At 37.3% G+C, this 16822-nt stretch overlaps 2 protein-coding genes, 1 long non-coding RNA gene and 1 pseudogene across 4 annotated transcripts in view; 2 read left to right on the top strand and 2 right to left on the bottom strand.

The window, feature by feature from the left end:
• LOC105372772 (uncharacterized) overlaps positions 1 to 16822 on the bottom strand; it is an 82493-nt gene that overhangs the window by 35395 nt on the left and 30276 nt on the right. Inside the window, exon 4 of one of the 2 annotated variants that reach the window (XR_937654.3) lies at positions 15997 to 16116. The exons of the other annotated variant lie outside the window; for it this stretch is intronic. This is a non-coding gene — a long non-coding RNA (uncharacterized LOC105372772). Of the gene's footprint in view, positions 1 to 15996; positions 16117 to 16822 lie in introns of those variants that run through there. 2 annotated transcript variants of the gene reach the window in all.
• Positions 1610 to 2416, top strand: KRTAP13-4 (keratin associated protein 13-4). Its single transcript, NM_181600.3, has one exon. The coding sequence runs from the start codon at positions 1666 to 1668 to the stop codon at positions 2146 to 2148; it is 483 nt and encodes a 160-aa protein (NP_853631.1). The 5' UTR covers positions 1610 to 1665; the 3' UTR covers positions 2149 to 2416.
• On the bottom strand, positions 7851 to 8361 carry KRTAP13-5P (keratin associated protein 13-5, pseudogene; annotated as a pseudogene).
• Positions 11665 to 12259, top strand: KRTAP15-1 (keratin associated protein 15-1). Its single transcript, NM_181623.3, has one exon. It carries the CDS (start codon positions 11718 to 11720, stop codon positions 12129 to 12131), a length of 414 nt encoding a protein of 137 aa, NP_853654.1. The 5' UTR covers positions 11665 to 11717; the 3' UTR covers positions 12132 to 12259.

Raw genomic sequence — 16822 nt, forward strand, 5'->3', positions numbered from 1 at the left:
GTTTCCAAACCTACTTACTAAGGTACAAGGTTAGGGGAAATCAACTGCCATTGAAAAATAGAAAGTAACTCACTGAATAGATATTTGAATTGGCCATATTTGCTTCTTTCTTCATTCTTCCTTCTGGAAGGCCTATATTAAGTTACTTTTCAATATTGCCATACATTTTAATTGAGAAAATTTAATCGAGAAAATGTCTAACATTATTGTTGTAAGTTTATTATATTTTATTATAAAATAAAATGTCATCAACCATGACAGTACACTTTCTTTGGTCCTGAATATAATTTAACTACTTGTATTTCAACATAGAATATTTTGTGAATGAACTTACAAAGTGGCTATCCTCAAAGAATACGACAAAGCTGTCCAATTTTTATTTTTCAACATGGAATCTATAATTCAGCAGAGGCAAACAAACACATGAACAAAACATAAAATATAACAAGTAAAAAAAAGAAAAAAGATAAAATCAAACTTAAGCACAGAAAAAAGAAAGAAAAATAGAGGGAAAGAAAGTCAGAGGAAGAGAGAGAGAAAATAAGAGAGAAACATTCATATACCATGCAGAGGAAAAGAGGACTGGGGAACAAAGAAACTTCACATTTTCACAGGAAAATGTAGGATGGTACCTGGTTCTACAAGTGGCAAAAAGACACTGAAAGCCAGTAATATGGAAAGCTAGAGCCATTCTAAGAAGGTAGAAGTCCTGTATAATTACAAAAGTAGATGATAAATATATCAAAGTTCATAAGATTTGCTAATTTTGAAAATTTTTGCTCATAAAGACATTGAGACAAGACACATGACAGCTGGAATGCAATAGGAAAAAAAATTCTGAAATTCCTGAGCTTTCTCTTTGTTTCTCTTTCACTTGTTTCCTCCCTTCAGCAGACAAGCATTCGGGCTCTTTGGCTGAAGAGACATGACCTCAAATTGATCTTCTCTGTGACTGTGTTTCAATCGAGCTTCTTTTTGTTATCTCGTCTTTAAATAAATGGCAAGGTTTCTTTCAATTTCTAGCCATTTCTTTCTATCTCTTTGCTTTGCCTGTTCTTGATCTTTCTTCACTGGATATGAGACAGACTTTATAACTGTAGTACTTAATGTATTAATTTACTCTTACCGCCCTAAAAAATCACCACAAAGTAATTTTGGAGTATAGCAATCAATGGTGACAAGATGGATCATTTTCACAAAGGTTCTCATCCAGGTGGAAATTGCACCAGAAAGAAACTAACGTTATCTCATTCCCCACTCTTAAGAGGAAAACATCTACTAGCAAAGCCAGATGTGAATACACAGGAAAAGAGGCAGTTAGCATGTGCCAAAGAAATAGGAAGAGCTTTCCTTGTCATGATGAGCTAGACATTAATATAAAACAGTCATAGCATTTCTGACATAAGTACAGTTCATTGGCTTTGTGCTATAACACGAAAATTATAGCACCCATAAATACAATACATGGAAAACTATTCAAATGCAATTACAGACAAGATTACGCAGTTACACATATGTAAATGAGGGATCACAAATATGTAAAGGATGACCCTGTTGGGCACCACACCTATTGCTGAGAGGATATAAATGCCCTTGTCCAGGATGCGACATTAAAACTCAGAATCTTCTTAGGTACACTCAGCTGAACTCCCATCTCTCATCAGCATGTCCTACAACTGCTGCTCTAGAAACTTCTCCTCCCGCTCCTTTGGGGGCTACCTGTACTACCCAGGCTCCTACCCCAGCAGCCTGGTCTACAGCACTGCCCTCTGCTCTCCCAGCACCTGCCAGCTGCGTTCCTCTCTCTACAGGGACTGTCAGAAGACCTGCTGGGAGCCCGCCAGCTGCCAGAAATCCTGCTACCGCCCCAGGACCTCCATCCTCTGCTGTCCCTGTCAGACGACTTGCTCTGGATCTCTAGGCTTTCGGTCCAGCAGCTGTCGCTCCCAGGGCTATGGATCTAGGTGCTGCTACTCGCTGGGAAATGGATCCAGTGGCTTCAGATTCCTGAAATATGGAGGCTGTGGTTTTCCTTCCCTGAGTTACGGATCCAGATTCTGCTACCCAAACTACTTGGCTTCTGGAGCCTGGCAGTCTTCTTGTTACAGACCAATCTGTGGATCTCGCTTCTATCAATTCACCTGCTAAATTTCTAGATCCTTTTGAGTATTGGGATCAAAGTCTCTACTGAATGCAGCCATTATTTTCATTCTTGCCAGATCCCAATATCTTTTTATTCTTCCACCACCAGCTTCTTGCATGACCAACTTCTGGCAGACTGCGAAATTAATGAGTAACCTAATATTAACTTCTAATATCTTTACCATTGATCGAATATATGCTATCTGATTTTCATCCAAAAACTGTTGAAAATGGAAATTTTAATCTAATAAATGTATGTAATCTGGTACCCAAATATATTGTTCACATTGTTATTATTTTATTATTATTATTTTGCTTACATTTTTGCATTCAAGAATTTGGGAGATTTAAGTAAAAATCAATATGACTGTGTAACTGGATTTGGGGCCCATATAATCTGACAGATCTGAGAACATTTCTCTTGAAATTAGGTATGTTGTCTATTAAGAGTAATCATTTCTGGAAGAACATAGTTTGCATCTGCAGACTTGTCTCAACAGCAGTGAGAATTGTCTAAGAATGAAGGACATGCATTTCTACTGATATAGGAAAGCAGAAAATTTGATGCATAAACTAGAAATGCAGACAACAAGACTAGGATGTAATTTATAAGGTAAACTGTATGCTTGCACTAAAGGTTACTTAAAGTCTAGTATCTGAATGTGGATTTTCAACCAAGAGAAAAGTGAAGCTTAAGCACTGCTAGGACAGACGCTTTGCTCTTTGTTAGTAGACTTAAGTGCCAGGTTTCCTGCCTCCCACTGGTAAGGAGAGTCAGGATCATTCACCAATGATCTTAAGTGGGAATTATTGGGTCCAGGAGGCTTCGGTAACCTACCGATGCTTCTTCAAGGCTCAACCTTAATCAAGCTGACAGCAACACACCTGAGCCATGCTGAACAAGCATTTATATCCATTAGTCTTACTCTGGATCCTCCTCTTCTCCCCAGAACAAGGCTAATGTCAAAGATTTGGGTGCAAACAGTTTATGTGGCACAAGATCCCAGGAAGCAAGTATGAGACACTATGGAAGATGAAAGAATCAAAGAGGAAAATCTAAAGAAAGGGTGCATTTTCGAGTTTATTTTATGGAGAGCAACTTGGCTAAATCTTGTAAGGACCTTTTAGGAGCATGTAGAATGACTCTTGGAATTGTCCCCCACAGGATCAGATCAACATGGAAAAACATTTATCCATCCGCTTCTTTCTCCCATTGGCTGAACAATATCCAAGATGTGTAATTTTCAGGAACCTTATAATTATGCAAGGAAAGAATCACAGTGGGCACCTTCTGTTTTCCTAGTTGTGACCTGGAAGAAACCCAGGTACAGTAAAAGTGGCGTTGCATATGACTGAGGGCAGATGTTGTCCACACAAAGGTGGTTGAAGCCAACATAAAATGGTTTGCATTGCTATGCTTGTGGTCATAGGTGAGTGTATACCACACAAGAAGGCAAAAGAGTTATCAGGTAACAGATTTTCCCTTAATACTTAACATCCCTGTGAGAAAGACAAATACTGTATACTATAGACCTTTACAGGCATGGGGGAATGGAAACTCTAAAAGGATTTAAAACTGGCCAAGGCTTACAGATCAAAGACCTGGTAGAATATGATCTCTTGAATGAATCTTGTTTTGTTACTCTTTTCTGGTTTTTCTTTTCTTTTTATTAAAAAATACAACTCCTAGTTCAACCAAGGAACACTTAGTATTTCTAGTAGTACAGAAATACTGCAGAATTACTATTCATCTAAATGGAGATGATCCACTATTGGATTTATTTGTGTAGCCTCATGAGTAGTATCAGTAATAAAGAATGAAAATACAAATAAATTTAGAGTTTAGGAGAAGAGCTCCAAAGAAGGTAAACTAATTTATTTAAATAACATTTTAACGGTTATAACAAATAGTAGAGTAATAGAAAAATAATCAATGGCATCTCAGGAAGAAAATGTTATGAATTCTGAGTTCTATGACATATCTTAACATTTTAATTATTATCATGAGTGTAACTTAGTTTTTTCAGATTTAGGATCCAAGATGATAGATATAAAGTTCTGCCTTCAATAATACCAAGCATTATGAACAAGAATGGTGAAATTGCAGACTCTTGCAACATCTCACTAATAACGTAAATCAGATTCCCATTTTGGTGAGATTGGACTGAAGGGGGATGGAATCAATCAGAGTGAATTCATGGCAATGTTCTTGAGTAAACTAATAATATAGAATGCAGAAGCAGCATACAATGTGTAAAAAATATTGATAAACATAAGGAAATTCCTTTCATTTACTTTTCTGTATAAAACAATACAAATTATTGCTTAAAATAAATGAAACAAGAGCTCAAAGATAATACAGTAGAAAAACGTGAACATGGTGATTAACAAGGTAAGGAAAAGTATTGATTGCCAGTACAATTTAGAGTATATACAAAGTGTTTTAAAATTTTTCAAATTATATCTTCTACTTTTATTGATAGAATATTGCAGCTTATTCGGATACAAAGTGAGTTATGTATTCACCACAATTAAAAATGTGCGTCTTCTCCACAGGACTCTTATTTTCTTTACCATGATGTCCTTACCAAAATTTGTACTTTTTATCATTATGGATACAACAGATAATCTCATCTTCAATGTTGAACTTTTAAAATAACTTTACATTAGCTTTATCAAACAGAACATTATGAACTTTTTATAGCTTTACTCTTTTGGGGGGGCTAGGCGAAGAAATCAAAACATTATTGGAATTAATTTATTTTCTGTTTGAAGCATTTGACAGTTCTAATATAAAACTGAATTCATTTAATCCCTAGTGATTTGTTTTTCCTGCTACTGGAGGGGCATGTCATTAACTATTGGTTCAATTATTTTCTGTACATGCACAAGAATATGTATAATTTAACACGAGTGAAAATGACTTAAAACAGTTATTTGACCTAAATGAAAATGTCTGTATCAGGGTGATGTATTGACACACTTTTTGCAACTGTTAATAGTAAATAATCATCTTAGGACTTGGTCTTCTTAAACATTTTTCTGTCTTTTGAAGTAGATACTGATGTATCTTCAGTAAAACTATGTCTTTCACTTTTCATGTGGTCAATGATATCACCTACTCTCATGTTGAATAATAAATATCATCAAATTGTTGTACAAGTTCATGCAGTCACCATCAACCGGATTTAGTGGTAGAAATTCAGAACCCAACTTTTGTTTTTTTCATTAAAAAATGAGCTTTTATTTTTGGCTTATTTTCCTTTTCTTCTATCTACAAAATTTAAAGAAGAAAAGTGTTACCGAATAATAAAAAATAGTTGTAGATTTAAAAAATACAAGACATGGCCAAATCACTGTAGCAAGAGCATTTAGATTATCCTTTATCTGTGGCTTTGTGGCAGTCAAAATTTCATGCCCATACTTCACGTGCACCTAGCCAGCAATTCTCAAATTTCCCACTAACTCCACCTACTGTTGGCTTGAGAGTATTGCCGCGTCTTGCAGCTGTGGAATGGGCCATCGCACTACCGGCTAGGTCTGAACAACAAATGACCCACCCCCAAGACTTGAACGAGTAGGCTGACCTATCACTTGTATGTAAGTGTAATTTGTTTCTCAAATGCTCTGTCTGCATGTTCTCTTTGCAAGAAAAGTTATAGTTTTTAGCGGGGTGTGGTGGTGTGTGCTTCTAGTCCTAGCTACTTGGGAGGCTGAGGTGGGAGGATAGTTTGAGCCTGGGAGGTGAAGGTTGCAGTGAACGGAGATTGTGCCACTGCAATCCAGCCTGAACCATAGCACCGCAAGTTATCTCAACAACAACAACAAAAAAAAGATAGTTCTATTTTGTTTAGAAATTTTAAGAACAATTGTAAGCATTCTGTCTTCTTTCAGATTTAACAATTGAAGTAAAAACTCTGCTCACTGTGCGTGCTACTTTTTCTTCACTAGATGAAACCATGACAAAAGTAAAGTAGAAATTTCCTAAACTAATCATTATTTATGTTAATATATTACTGATTATAAATAAATAAAAAGTTAAAAATCTGAGACAATCACCAAATGGTATTGGATACTGAAACAACAACAACAAAAAATAAACCATGCCATATTGTTACCCAGTAGGTAAGTATCTAGGTCTTCCATTTAATAATGTTGTACTTGACTTAAATGATAAAACATTTGAGGCTTAACTGCTGATTCAAGGATTATCAGCTACCTGGATATTTAGCCTAATCCTGTAACAAGAGAATATTTGCACTGGTTTTGAATTTTATTTTTTCAAGAAAGTGCTGCCAACCAAACAACTTAAAAAATAAGAGTAAGTTGAGACTTCATCAAGTTTATAGAACTGATTATATAAAACAGGTTGGTCCTACTTGCTAACGAATATTGAAATATGTTAGCACTTTCATTTGGAGAATTGATTTCTTACCTGGCACTAAGGCTAGGGGATCTGGATTCCTCAACAAATCTAACTCACTAAAATCTAACTTTTTACTGGATATCCTCACTCTGAATTCTCATATATTTCAGAAAACATTTTATAAAAGTATTCTTTCTACCAAAATTATGTGATACAATCAATTTAATAGTCATTGCAAATGTAATCATTTATATAAAAATATTGATGTTTCTAACTCCCTGCAGAAAAAGAAGACCACAGTGGTTAGTTTGTTTGTAGTCTTAAAAATGTGTCCTCTTCATTTTATCACGTGAAGATATTAATAGATGGAATCAATATGAAAGATGAAAAGTCTTCTAAATTAAAAAAGAATATGGACAATTTTACTTTTTAAAATTAAAAATAAATTAAACTTTTATTTTAGGGTTAAAGGTACATGTGAAGATTTGTTACATAGGTGAACTCGTGTCACGGGGATTTTGTTGTACAGATTATATCATCACCCAGGTATTAAGCCCAGTACCCAGTAGTTATCTTTTCTGTTTCTCTTCTTCTTCTCGCCCTCCTCCCTCAAGTAGATCCCAGTGTCTGTTGTTTCCTTCTGTGTGTTCATGTGTTCGCATCATTTAGCTCCCTCTTGTAATTTACAACATGCACTATTTGGTTTTCTGTTTCTATGTTAGTTTGCCAAGGAGAATAGCCTCTAGCTCCATCCATGTTCCCACAAAAGATACGATCTTGTTCTTTTTTTATGGCTACATAGTATTTCATGGTATATATGTACCACATTTTCTTTATTCAATCTGTCATTGATGGCCATTTATCTTGATTCCACATCTTCGCTATTCTGAATCATGCTACAATGAACATTCGTGCGCAAGTGTCTTTAGTAGAAAACACAGAAAAACCTAGCCAGATATTTAGTAGTTTTTAAGACAAAAAGTAAGCAAAGAATATTAAAGCAGATATGCACATGTAATGTTACCCAGTTTTATTTAAACTTACGTTCTTCACTTTGTAAAATTTAAAGCAACTACTCTAGGGGAAATAACTAGGAGATACAGTAAGAGAAGTGTGCTTTGATATTGCATATCTATATAATTATAAATAAGCAGTTTTGACATCTTGCTCCAGTGAATATTTTCTAGTTACTGGAATTCAGATTATTCCTCATCTATCATGGGTAACAGTAGAAATCAAATTCGTAGGCAAATGATAGGATAGGAGAGCAATAGACGGTATGGATATATGGATATGGACACAGTAGGTATTGTGTTTAAGTTTCTGGTTCCTCAAACATAATTACTAAAAGTCATATTCACAGGCTGGATGGTAAGAAGCAGACTGGCAGCTACTAGAAGAATAGAAGGTTGGGTGGTAAAAGTTGGGTCTATAATTTAGGGATGTGAAAGCAATGGGACAATAACCCATGGATTGGAATACACTGGATACAAAGCCCAGGGATGGAGAGCCACAGCCAAAAGATTGAAAGCCCCTGGATCCAAAGCCCAGAGATCCAGAGTAAGTCATCTGGCAGGGCCTGCAGAGTATAGAGGTTCTGGGGCAATAGCAGGAGATCTGGCAGGTGCTGGACACTACACAGGATGTCTGGCACCTGCGGAGCTCCCAGCAGGTCTCCTGACAGCCCCTGTAGAGAGAAGAGCCCAGCTGGCAGGTGCTGGGAGAGCAGAGGTCAGTGCTGTAGACCAGTTTGCTGGGGTAGGAAGAGCCACAAGAGAAGCCTGGGTAGCGCAGTTATGCCCCACAGGGCGGGAGGAGAAGTTTCCAGAGTAGCAGTTGTAGGAGAGAGTTGACTTACAATGACAAGGTTGTGACTTTGAATGTCACTTCTTGGACCTGGGGACTTATATGCCCTTAACATTGGGTGTGTCATCCACATGGCACATAAAATAGGTTACCTGCCAACTTTAAATGAATTAAAAAGATAATCATAGTCAGACATATGTATTTATTGTGATTTTACAGCTAGGAAGTGCAGTAATGTTTGTGCCTTGGGATTCAGTTAATAGTGTTGACTCTTTAAAGCTATTACTCATCTTCCCTTACCAAAGGTCACTCTTCAGATAACTCAGAGAATCGCTTTAGAGGTAGACAGTGTCTGGGCTGAGGGAAGCTGCCTTAATTAAAAATAATTGATACCCATTTCACAATCTGTCTCAAAATTGTTGCCATCTGGTGCACAAAGTTGCCAGCTAACCAATCTATTCATAGTCATTTCTTTCAAACAAAAACATACATTCACTGTCACCGCAAAGTAGCAAGCTAACTTAACGAAGAATGTCATCAGAAAGCAGCAATGGTGATATGCAAGATATAATGTCTTTTTAAAAATCAAACTTCAACTGGAACAGCTTTAATGAAATATTAACTGAGATTCCCTTATTTTCTGTGCTCCTGTTTAAAACTGTATGCAGACTATTAGGAGCCAATCTTAGCTTTTCTTTCCTTGGGTGTGTGTTTACTGTTGAGTGAATTAAAAATAATAAATTGCTTTATGTATTTTGGAATGGTCGAGATTATTCATCTAAGATGCTTAAAAGGCATTAAAAATAAAAACAGATCATGTGTCAAAGATGCCTAGTGTATTTCTACCTCTAATCAGAGTCAGTGTTTCCCACTAAAAGAATTCCCCAGAATCTGGAAAAGATTCCTGTTTTAAAGAAAGTTTATAAAGTAACTGCTTTGAGATGGTGAGACAAAGGCAGCATCTTAGGAAGATTCTTCCTTTGCCTCAAAAATAACATACATGACTTTGACGTAAATTATTTTCAGGTGTTTCTGACAGGTATTACAACACTTCTAAAATAATGGTCATATTTTCTCTTGTTCTGTGACTTGTATTTCACCTTGATGTAATGGTGTAATGAGACTGATATCTTGAGGAAGAGGAGAGATTGAGATTTATCTTGCTGTGGTTTCTGTGTTGTTTGATTTGCTCATTTTTAGAAAAAAGTTTCCATTCCACTTCTGAATGAAAGTAGTTGAATGCAAAAAAATCCATACTTTGAGAAAAGAATGTGCGACATTACTTAATATCTGATCCCTCAGAGTATTCTTCTACTGAAATTGCTTATATAGGAATGGATGACATTAAAACAAGAAAGCAACTTCAATTTAGGCGGGCTAAATATTTGTGTGGCTATTTTGATATTCAATATTTTATTGACAAACACAACAGGAAGATTTGGAATCTACTAGAATGCTTTTTGGCTATTAATAATTGAGAAGCCTAATAAATAAGAATTGTTTATTCCAGAAACACAGAACAAACTATGTTACTTAATAAATGAAACATGATTGGAGATCAATTTGTCTCCTCAAAAGTTTAGACTTATAAAGTCTACAATTTGGAAGGAAGTTGAGCAATTATCTCCAGCCTCCTGTCAGATTGGAATTCCACTTACAACATCCTAATTAGATTTTCCCAGGGCCCTCAGTATGGAAATATCATTAATTGCAAGAGCAACTCATTTTAGATTTTTAGCTGAATCTTCCCCTAAAACTTTTACCTAGTAATCCTGATTCTTCATAGAAGGGAGTCTCAGTTCACTTCCATTGTAGAATACATCAGTTCTGAAGATGGATGTCTTAAGAGGTTTGCCCATTCCCACAGGTTAAGGCATTTCCTGCATCCGTGCCATATATCTATTTACAGTTTGCTCTGATGAACTTTCTGAGCGAATCCAGAAAAATCCTCATTACTCTAGTACTCTAGGCAGAATATATATGTCAGCTGATACATCAGAGGTCACAAAGGCATTCACTCTCAATTACACATTATCATCATGTATCCTTCCCACCCCTTTATTTCAATTTATAAAGTCATTTGTTACTATGAATTCTTTACATATTTTATCTTTCTGTGAATACTACATGGGATAGACATTTCCCTCATTTCTTGCTTTTCTTTTCCCTCTCTGGTAAAAATGTCACCCTCTGAGAGAAAAGAAAGGAAAAGATTAACGATTTACATTTTACTTATAGTGCTTATTATTTTCCTCTCAGTAACATCAACATGACCAAAAATTACTTATACCTTATGGGGATAAACGGTTTTTTATAATCAAACTTATTGATGACTTCTATGAAGAAGCAAATCAACCTTTGAGTAAGGGATTTCTTTAGTAGTTTTACAATGTAAACTTCAAAGCACTTGTTCAAAAATTTCACCCTTCATTCTTAACTCTTCATGTGCACAAGAGTGACTTAGCTACTTGTGTTATAAGAAATCTAAACTTAAATATGTTAGGCACTCATTTAGCATGTCTACCAAATAAGGATTGTTATTGGGTTATTTCTTCTAATGGTTCAAAGAATTGAAAGAAGGAATAGATATTGAAATTTTTTTTCTGTTCTCAATTGAATTTATAAAATTGGAGCAAGATCAAAGTCCCTTCCAGATTACAAGGTATTTTTCAGATCTTTACAAATACCAGAACTCTCAGTGTCTTAGCCGTTTGATCCAATTTCTAGAAGGACAGGATGAATGAAGCATCAAGTTTTTTTCTTTGTTTTTTTGTTTCTTTGTTTGTTTGTTTGTTTTGGAGATGGAATCTTGCTCTGTCTCCCAGGCTGGAGTGCAGTGGTACGATCTCGGCTCACTGCAAACTCCGCCTCCCGGGTTCAAGCAATTCTCCTGCCTCAGCCTCCTGAGTAGCTGGGATTACAGCCGCCCACCACCATGCCCGGCTAATTTTTGTATTTTTAGTAGAGACGGAGTTTCACCATGTTGGTCAGGCTGGTCTGGAACTCCTGACCTCGTGATATGCCTGCCTCAGCCTCCCAAAGTGCTGGAATTACAAGTGTGAGCCTCCGCGCCCGACCCTTTGAAGCATCAGTCTTATAGGTACAATTATGGTGGTTTTCATTCTACCTAAGCAAGATGAATGAGAAATGGCATTTTTGTTTCATGAACAATTGCTTTGAAAAACTAATGAAATTCTTTCATGTAGAAGTCTACGTTCATAAATAAAATTCTTTGAGTGTTAATATATTTCATTTTGACTGCAGCCTAATTAAGTGTTCTCATTAGAATGGGCACTTGTGACTACACCTATTGCTAGAGTATGTCAGTGTCCAGTATAGAAGGTAACATTCACACACACACGCTCCTCACTGCAAATCACCTGAGCTCAGAACTCCTGTTAACATGTCTTACAACTGCAGCTCTGGAAACTTCTCCTCCTGCTGTTTTGGAAGTTACCTGAGGTATCCAGTTTCCACTTATAATTTGTTCTACCCCAGCAATGCCATCTATTCTCCAAATACCTGCCAACTGGGCTCCTCTCTCTACAATGGCTGTCAGGAGACCTACTGTGAGCCCACCAGCTGCCAGACATCCTGCACTTTGGCCAGATCCTATCAGACATCCTGTTACTGCCCAAAGAATTCCATCTTCTGCAGTCCCCGCCAGACTAACTACATAAGATCCCTTGGATGTGGAAACACTGGCCTTGGATCTCTTGGTTGTGGAAGCACTGGCTTCCAATCTCTGGACTGTGGGTCCAGCTTCTACCACCCAACTACCTTTTCATCCAGGAATTTCCAGGCAACTTGTTACTAACCAGCCTTTGGGTCTCGCCTTTTTGGATCATCTTACTGAATATTCTCCATTCTCTCATGATTATTTCTGTACTCTATGGAACTGCAACACTCAGCCTGTCCAATATCTGTGATTGTTGACCATCTACATCAGTAGGACTCAGCATCCTAGCCCTCTTGGAAGTATATGATTGAACACGGACAAATTAATCTTGACCTAGGACCCTTCCTAAATCTGACAGGAGATATATCTTGAATTTCAATTTTTGTGCCAATGCTCAGGATCATTTCTGTTATCATCTTTCTAAAATCCTTCTCTCATTATTTTCCCAGAACTCTTCCACTCAAATATATTTCAAATAGTTACAATATTTTAAATAAGCTTATTTCTTTGGCATGAATTCTGGCATTCCATTTTATTTTGTTAATACAATACACTTAGGCTGGGCATGATGGCTCACACCTGTAATCCCAGCACTTTGGGAGACTGAGGCTGGCGGATCACTTTAGGTCAAGAGTTTGAGGCCATCCTGGCCAACACAGTGAAAACCCATTTCTACTAAAAATACAAAAATTAGCAAGGCCTGGTGTGCACCTATAATCCCAGCTACTCAGGAGGCTGAGGCAGGCGAATCACTTGAATCTGAGAGACGGAGGTTGTAGTCAGCTGAGATCATGCCACTACACTCCAGCCTGGGCAACAAAGTGGGACTCTGTGTCAAAAAATAAATAAATAAATAAGTAAAAATGATACATTTAGTGAATTCATCCCATATCTTCAACTGTCTTCCTTAGGTACACTTTTTGTTTGTTTCATATGTTTTATTGATATTTTGTTGAATAGAAAACAAAGTGCAAAGAAAATTTAAATATATAACCTATCACATGTTTTAAGAGATTTAAATCCCCTCATAAGTGCATTTTTTATATATTTGCTTCAGAAAATTTTGTTTTAGTCTTTCATTGAAAAAAAATTTATTGAGGTCCTATTATATACCAAGCATTACGCTGAACAAAGACACAAATTCTCTGCTTCAGGAAGTTCCCACAAATACAATTATAACTTATATGGCAAATGGAATAATGGGGTGAAGACAAGATTCAGTGGGAACACAAAGAAGAACTTCAAAAACACTCAGAGAAAATAATATAAACCCATTATTGAAAATAGAGTAAATAAGTTACACTTAATTTTAGAATAACAAATCTTACTGATCTATTGTGTCCATTGCAGTCCCTTGAAAAGCAGCTGCCAAATGGGATTAAACATAAAAAAGATTTATTGGTGAAAATGCCAGTGATAGATAATGGGGAGGTAGTTGGAGAGGTCTGGGAGAGCCATACTACTGTGGAGTATGTCTAGCCTCAGTGAAGGACAGAGGGAACTAAGTTTGGTCTAGAAGAAACTTCTTTAAGAAACTCCCCATCGGGCGTGGTGGCTCATGCCTGTGATCCCAGCGCTTTGGGAGGCCGAGGCGGGTGGATCGCGAGGTCAGGAGATCGAGACCACCCTGGCTAACACGGTGAAACCCCGTCTCTACTAAAAATACAAAAAATTAGCCGGGCCTGGTGGCGGGTGCCTGTAGTCCCAGCTACTCGGGAGGCTGAGGCAGGAGAATGGCGTGAACCCGGGAGGCAGAGCTTGCAGTGAGCCAAGACAGTGCCACTGCACTCCGGCCTGGGCGACAGAGCGAGACTCCGTCTCAAAAAAAAAAAAAGAAAAGAAAAGAAAAGATAAGAAAAAAAAAGAAACTCCTTTAGGGCAATTCTAAGAAAGTTTTGGCAAGTCACCCATCAAAGGAGCCTTACATATCACCAAAATGGGCCTGCCTTAGCATCCTTGCCAAGAGTATTTACTAACAAGAATGGATGACAGCACAACCTTGGCACAGAAGTGATGGTAGATTCAAAGACCAACTGCTGTAGCTGTCAATCAGTCAGTAATGCTCCCTGAAGCAGAAGATTTAAGAGGTACATTTGCATAGCTTCCATCTTCATGATATTTATTCTGATCCTAAGTAAGCTCAGCACTGATAAACAGTGGTAAAATAATAAATAATAACTTGGAATTTTTCATGTTTTTCTTACTTTGATCAAAATGTCAATTATTATGTCAGACCCTATAGAGGACCCACTGAATGAAAATCTAACCCTACTACTGAGTAAGAGAAAATCAAGAATTATTAGATGGTTATCTTTGATTTTAATTGATGCATTAAGCAGACAGGACTCAGGACACAATTAGGAAACTGCTTCATTTTTTTTTAACACCACTGAACTTCACACTTGAATTTAGAGCTCTAGCTTCCCTGAATCCCTGAACAACACAATGGGTAGATCTATGATCACATTAAGATATTAAGAAAAATTTTCATTTCACGTTAGTAATCCAAAGTTGCATAATTACAAAACCAGTCTTACAGCCACAATAAAAGCTTCTCCCTTTCCCCTCAGTTTAGGCCTGTCATGTGTTTCCAAAGGCCACCAGTGGTTTAAAGAAGATTTTTTTTTTTTTTAAATTTCCATACTCCACCTTGCCTTCCATCAATGTACTGCTCCTTGTTTCCCTTTGATTCAAACATACACAATGGGAGGAAAGAAAATGACAACCAGGGCCATCTTCCTCAACATGATGCTTTAGGCCACCTGTGTCAACATGGACTTTGTTGTTTGCCTCTGAAAACTTTTACTGGGAAGAGATAATAACAACCAATAGCTCATTTCACTGCATGCTTCAGGAAATTCCTATAGATTAATTTGTTGGAGCCAATAGCCCAAAGACCTGAATAAACAGTTCCCTAATTAAGCAACAGTTTATGTATCAAGAAACTCATGTCAGCTTCCTCTCTGAAAGACCCACCTTGAACCAGCTCAGCCCAGAATCTCATTTCTAACACCTCCCTGTGGAAACACAGACAAGACTTACAGTAGCATTCTTCTTTGTGGCAGGGAGCTCAAATATACTTCATTTCGTCTTAGCAGATTTTCTGGTGATCTTACAGGTTTTTCAATAGGGACATTAAGGTTTGTGCATTTAGCTAGGACCCAATCTTTGCCATTGAATATCCTCTGTTATTATGCACTCTGAACTGAGCATGTAATGTTTGTGCCCTTCCTCCAAATTCATATGTTAAAATCCTAATTCCCAATGCAATGGTATTTGGAGAAGAGGCCTTTGGGAGGTAATTAGCTTATGAAAATGGAACCTTCATGTGGAAACTAGTGCCTTTATAAGAAAAGACACAAGAGGTTTGCTTCTGGTCTCTGTGCTCTCTGCTACGTGAGGACACAGAGAGAAGGTGGTCATCTGCAAACCAGGAGGAGAACCATCTCTAAAAACCAAATCGGACAGTACTTTGATCTTGTACTTCCCAGCCTCCAGAACTGTGAAAAATAAATTTCTCTTGTTTGAGTCTCCCAGTATATGGTATCTTAGTCTGAACTGACTAAGACACCACAGGTGTCTGAATATTGGTTCTTTTCCTAGTGGAGACTTTGGTGTGTTTTCTAGAAACCATCTTATTCCCACCCCAGCCCATTCTCCCTGGAATCCCTGAACTGAATATTGCCTGACAGAGTTAGCACACCCTTCCATGACTTCTCCCTGTATCCTCATCCCGAGTTCCCTCCTGCTAGGGCTCCATCCCAGCCAGCTTTCTTCTGCTAGAATCCATTTGTCCTGGAGGTGGCCCTCTTGGCCCATAGGAAACACACACTCACAGCACTGCCCATGGAAGTGTGATTTGGTCCTAGAGCAGGTGTCTTCCACCCAGCTAATTCTAATGGCTCACTGCTTTAAGAGTATGCTAGTATAGTCTCAAAACTCCAGGAGATACAGAAATACTCAATTTTCTGCCTTGTCTTCTTGGTGGGCAAACAATTCCAGAGACATGTCATTTTCTTTTATTAGTGTGACACTTTTAGTAAATGCATCCTGTACTTATTACTATTTTCATTAGGTAAGCTTGTTTTCTTAGCTTTATGTGTTTCTTCTTCTTTTTTTTTTTCTGGAAAGAAAATGGAGTTGAGAGAGGAGTTGAAACATGACATTTCATGTCTTGAGAGATTTATATCCCATCATAGAGCATTTGATCATATAATTGCTTTAGAAAATGTTATTTTCAGTTAGGGATTCATTGAACAAACATTTGTTGAGTTCCTATAATATAAAACATTCTTATTATAGAGAATGAGACTACCTTCTGTCATTCTAGCCAGCCACCACACTGTCTATGAATGGGCCTCATCACCTTCTCTCCCTTCCCAAAGAGAGGGAAGCCAGGGATATATGTATTTCTCTTTGTGTGTCACATGGGTAGTATTATCCCACAAGAATAAAACTTATTTCAGAGTAAACCTCGTTCTTTTATGAATGTCTAAATTGCACTCAAGGGGTATAAGGCTCAGGAAAGCTGTAAAGCTGTCAAGGCCATCTCTAATCATGGGAATGTGACTAGGACTGGGATTTATTGTCATTTACCAATATTTGCCCTCAGCTTTGGGGACTCTACCAAATTTGTGACTTATGTGAAAAGCACCTGTAAAATTATTTTACATAAAGATAAAAGAAAGCTCATTATATAAGCTCAATAATGAGAAAGTGACATGAGTAACTACACTCCTATATGAAATACCCTGGATATTCACAAATAAAGAATCATGGTGAATATAACCATACTGTCACAGAATAAATGATTTTCTACAGAGCTTTTC

This window comes from Homo sapiens, chromosome 21 (assembly GCF_000001405.40).
Source record: "Homo sapiens chromosome 21, GRCh38.p14 Primary Assembly".
Taxonomy (NCBI): Eukaryota; Metazoa; Chordata; class Mammalia; order Primates; family Hominidae; genus Homo; species Homo sapiens.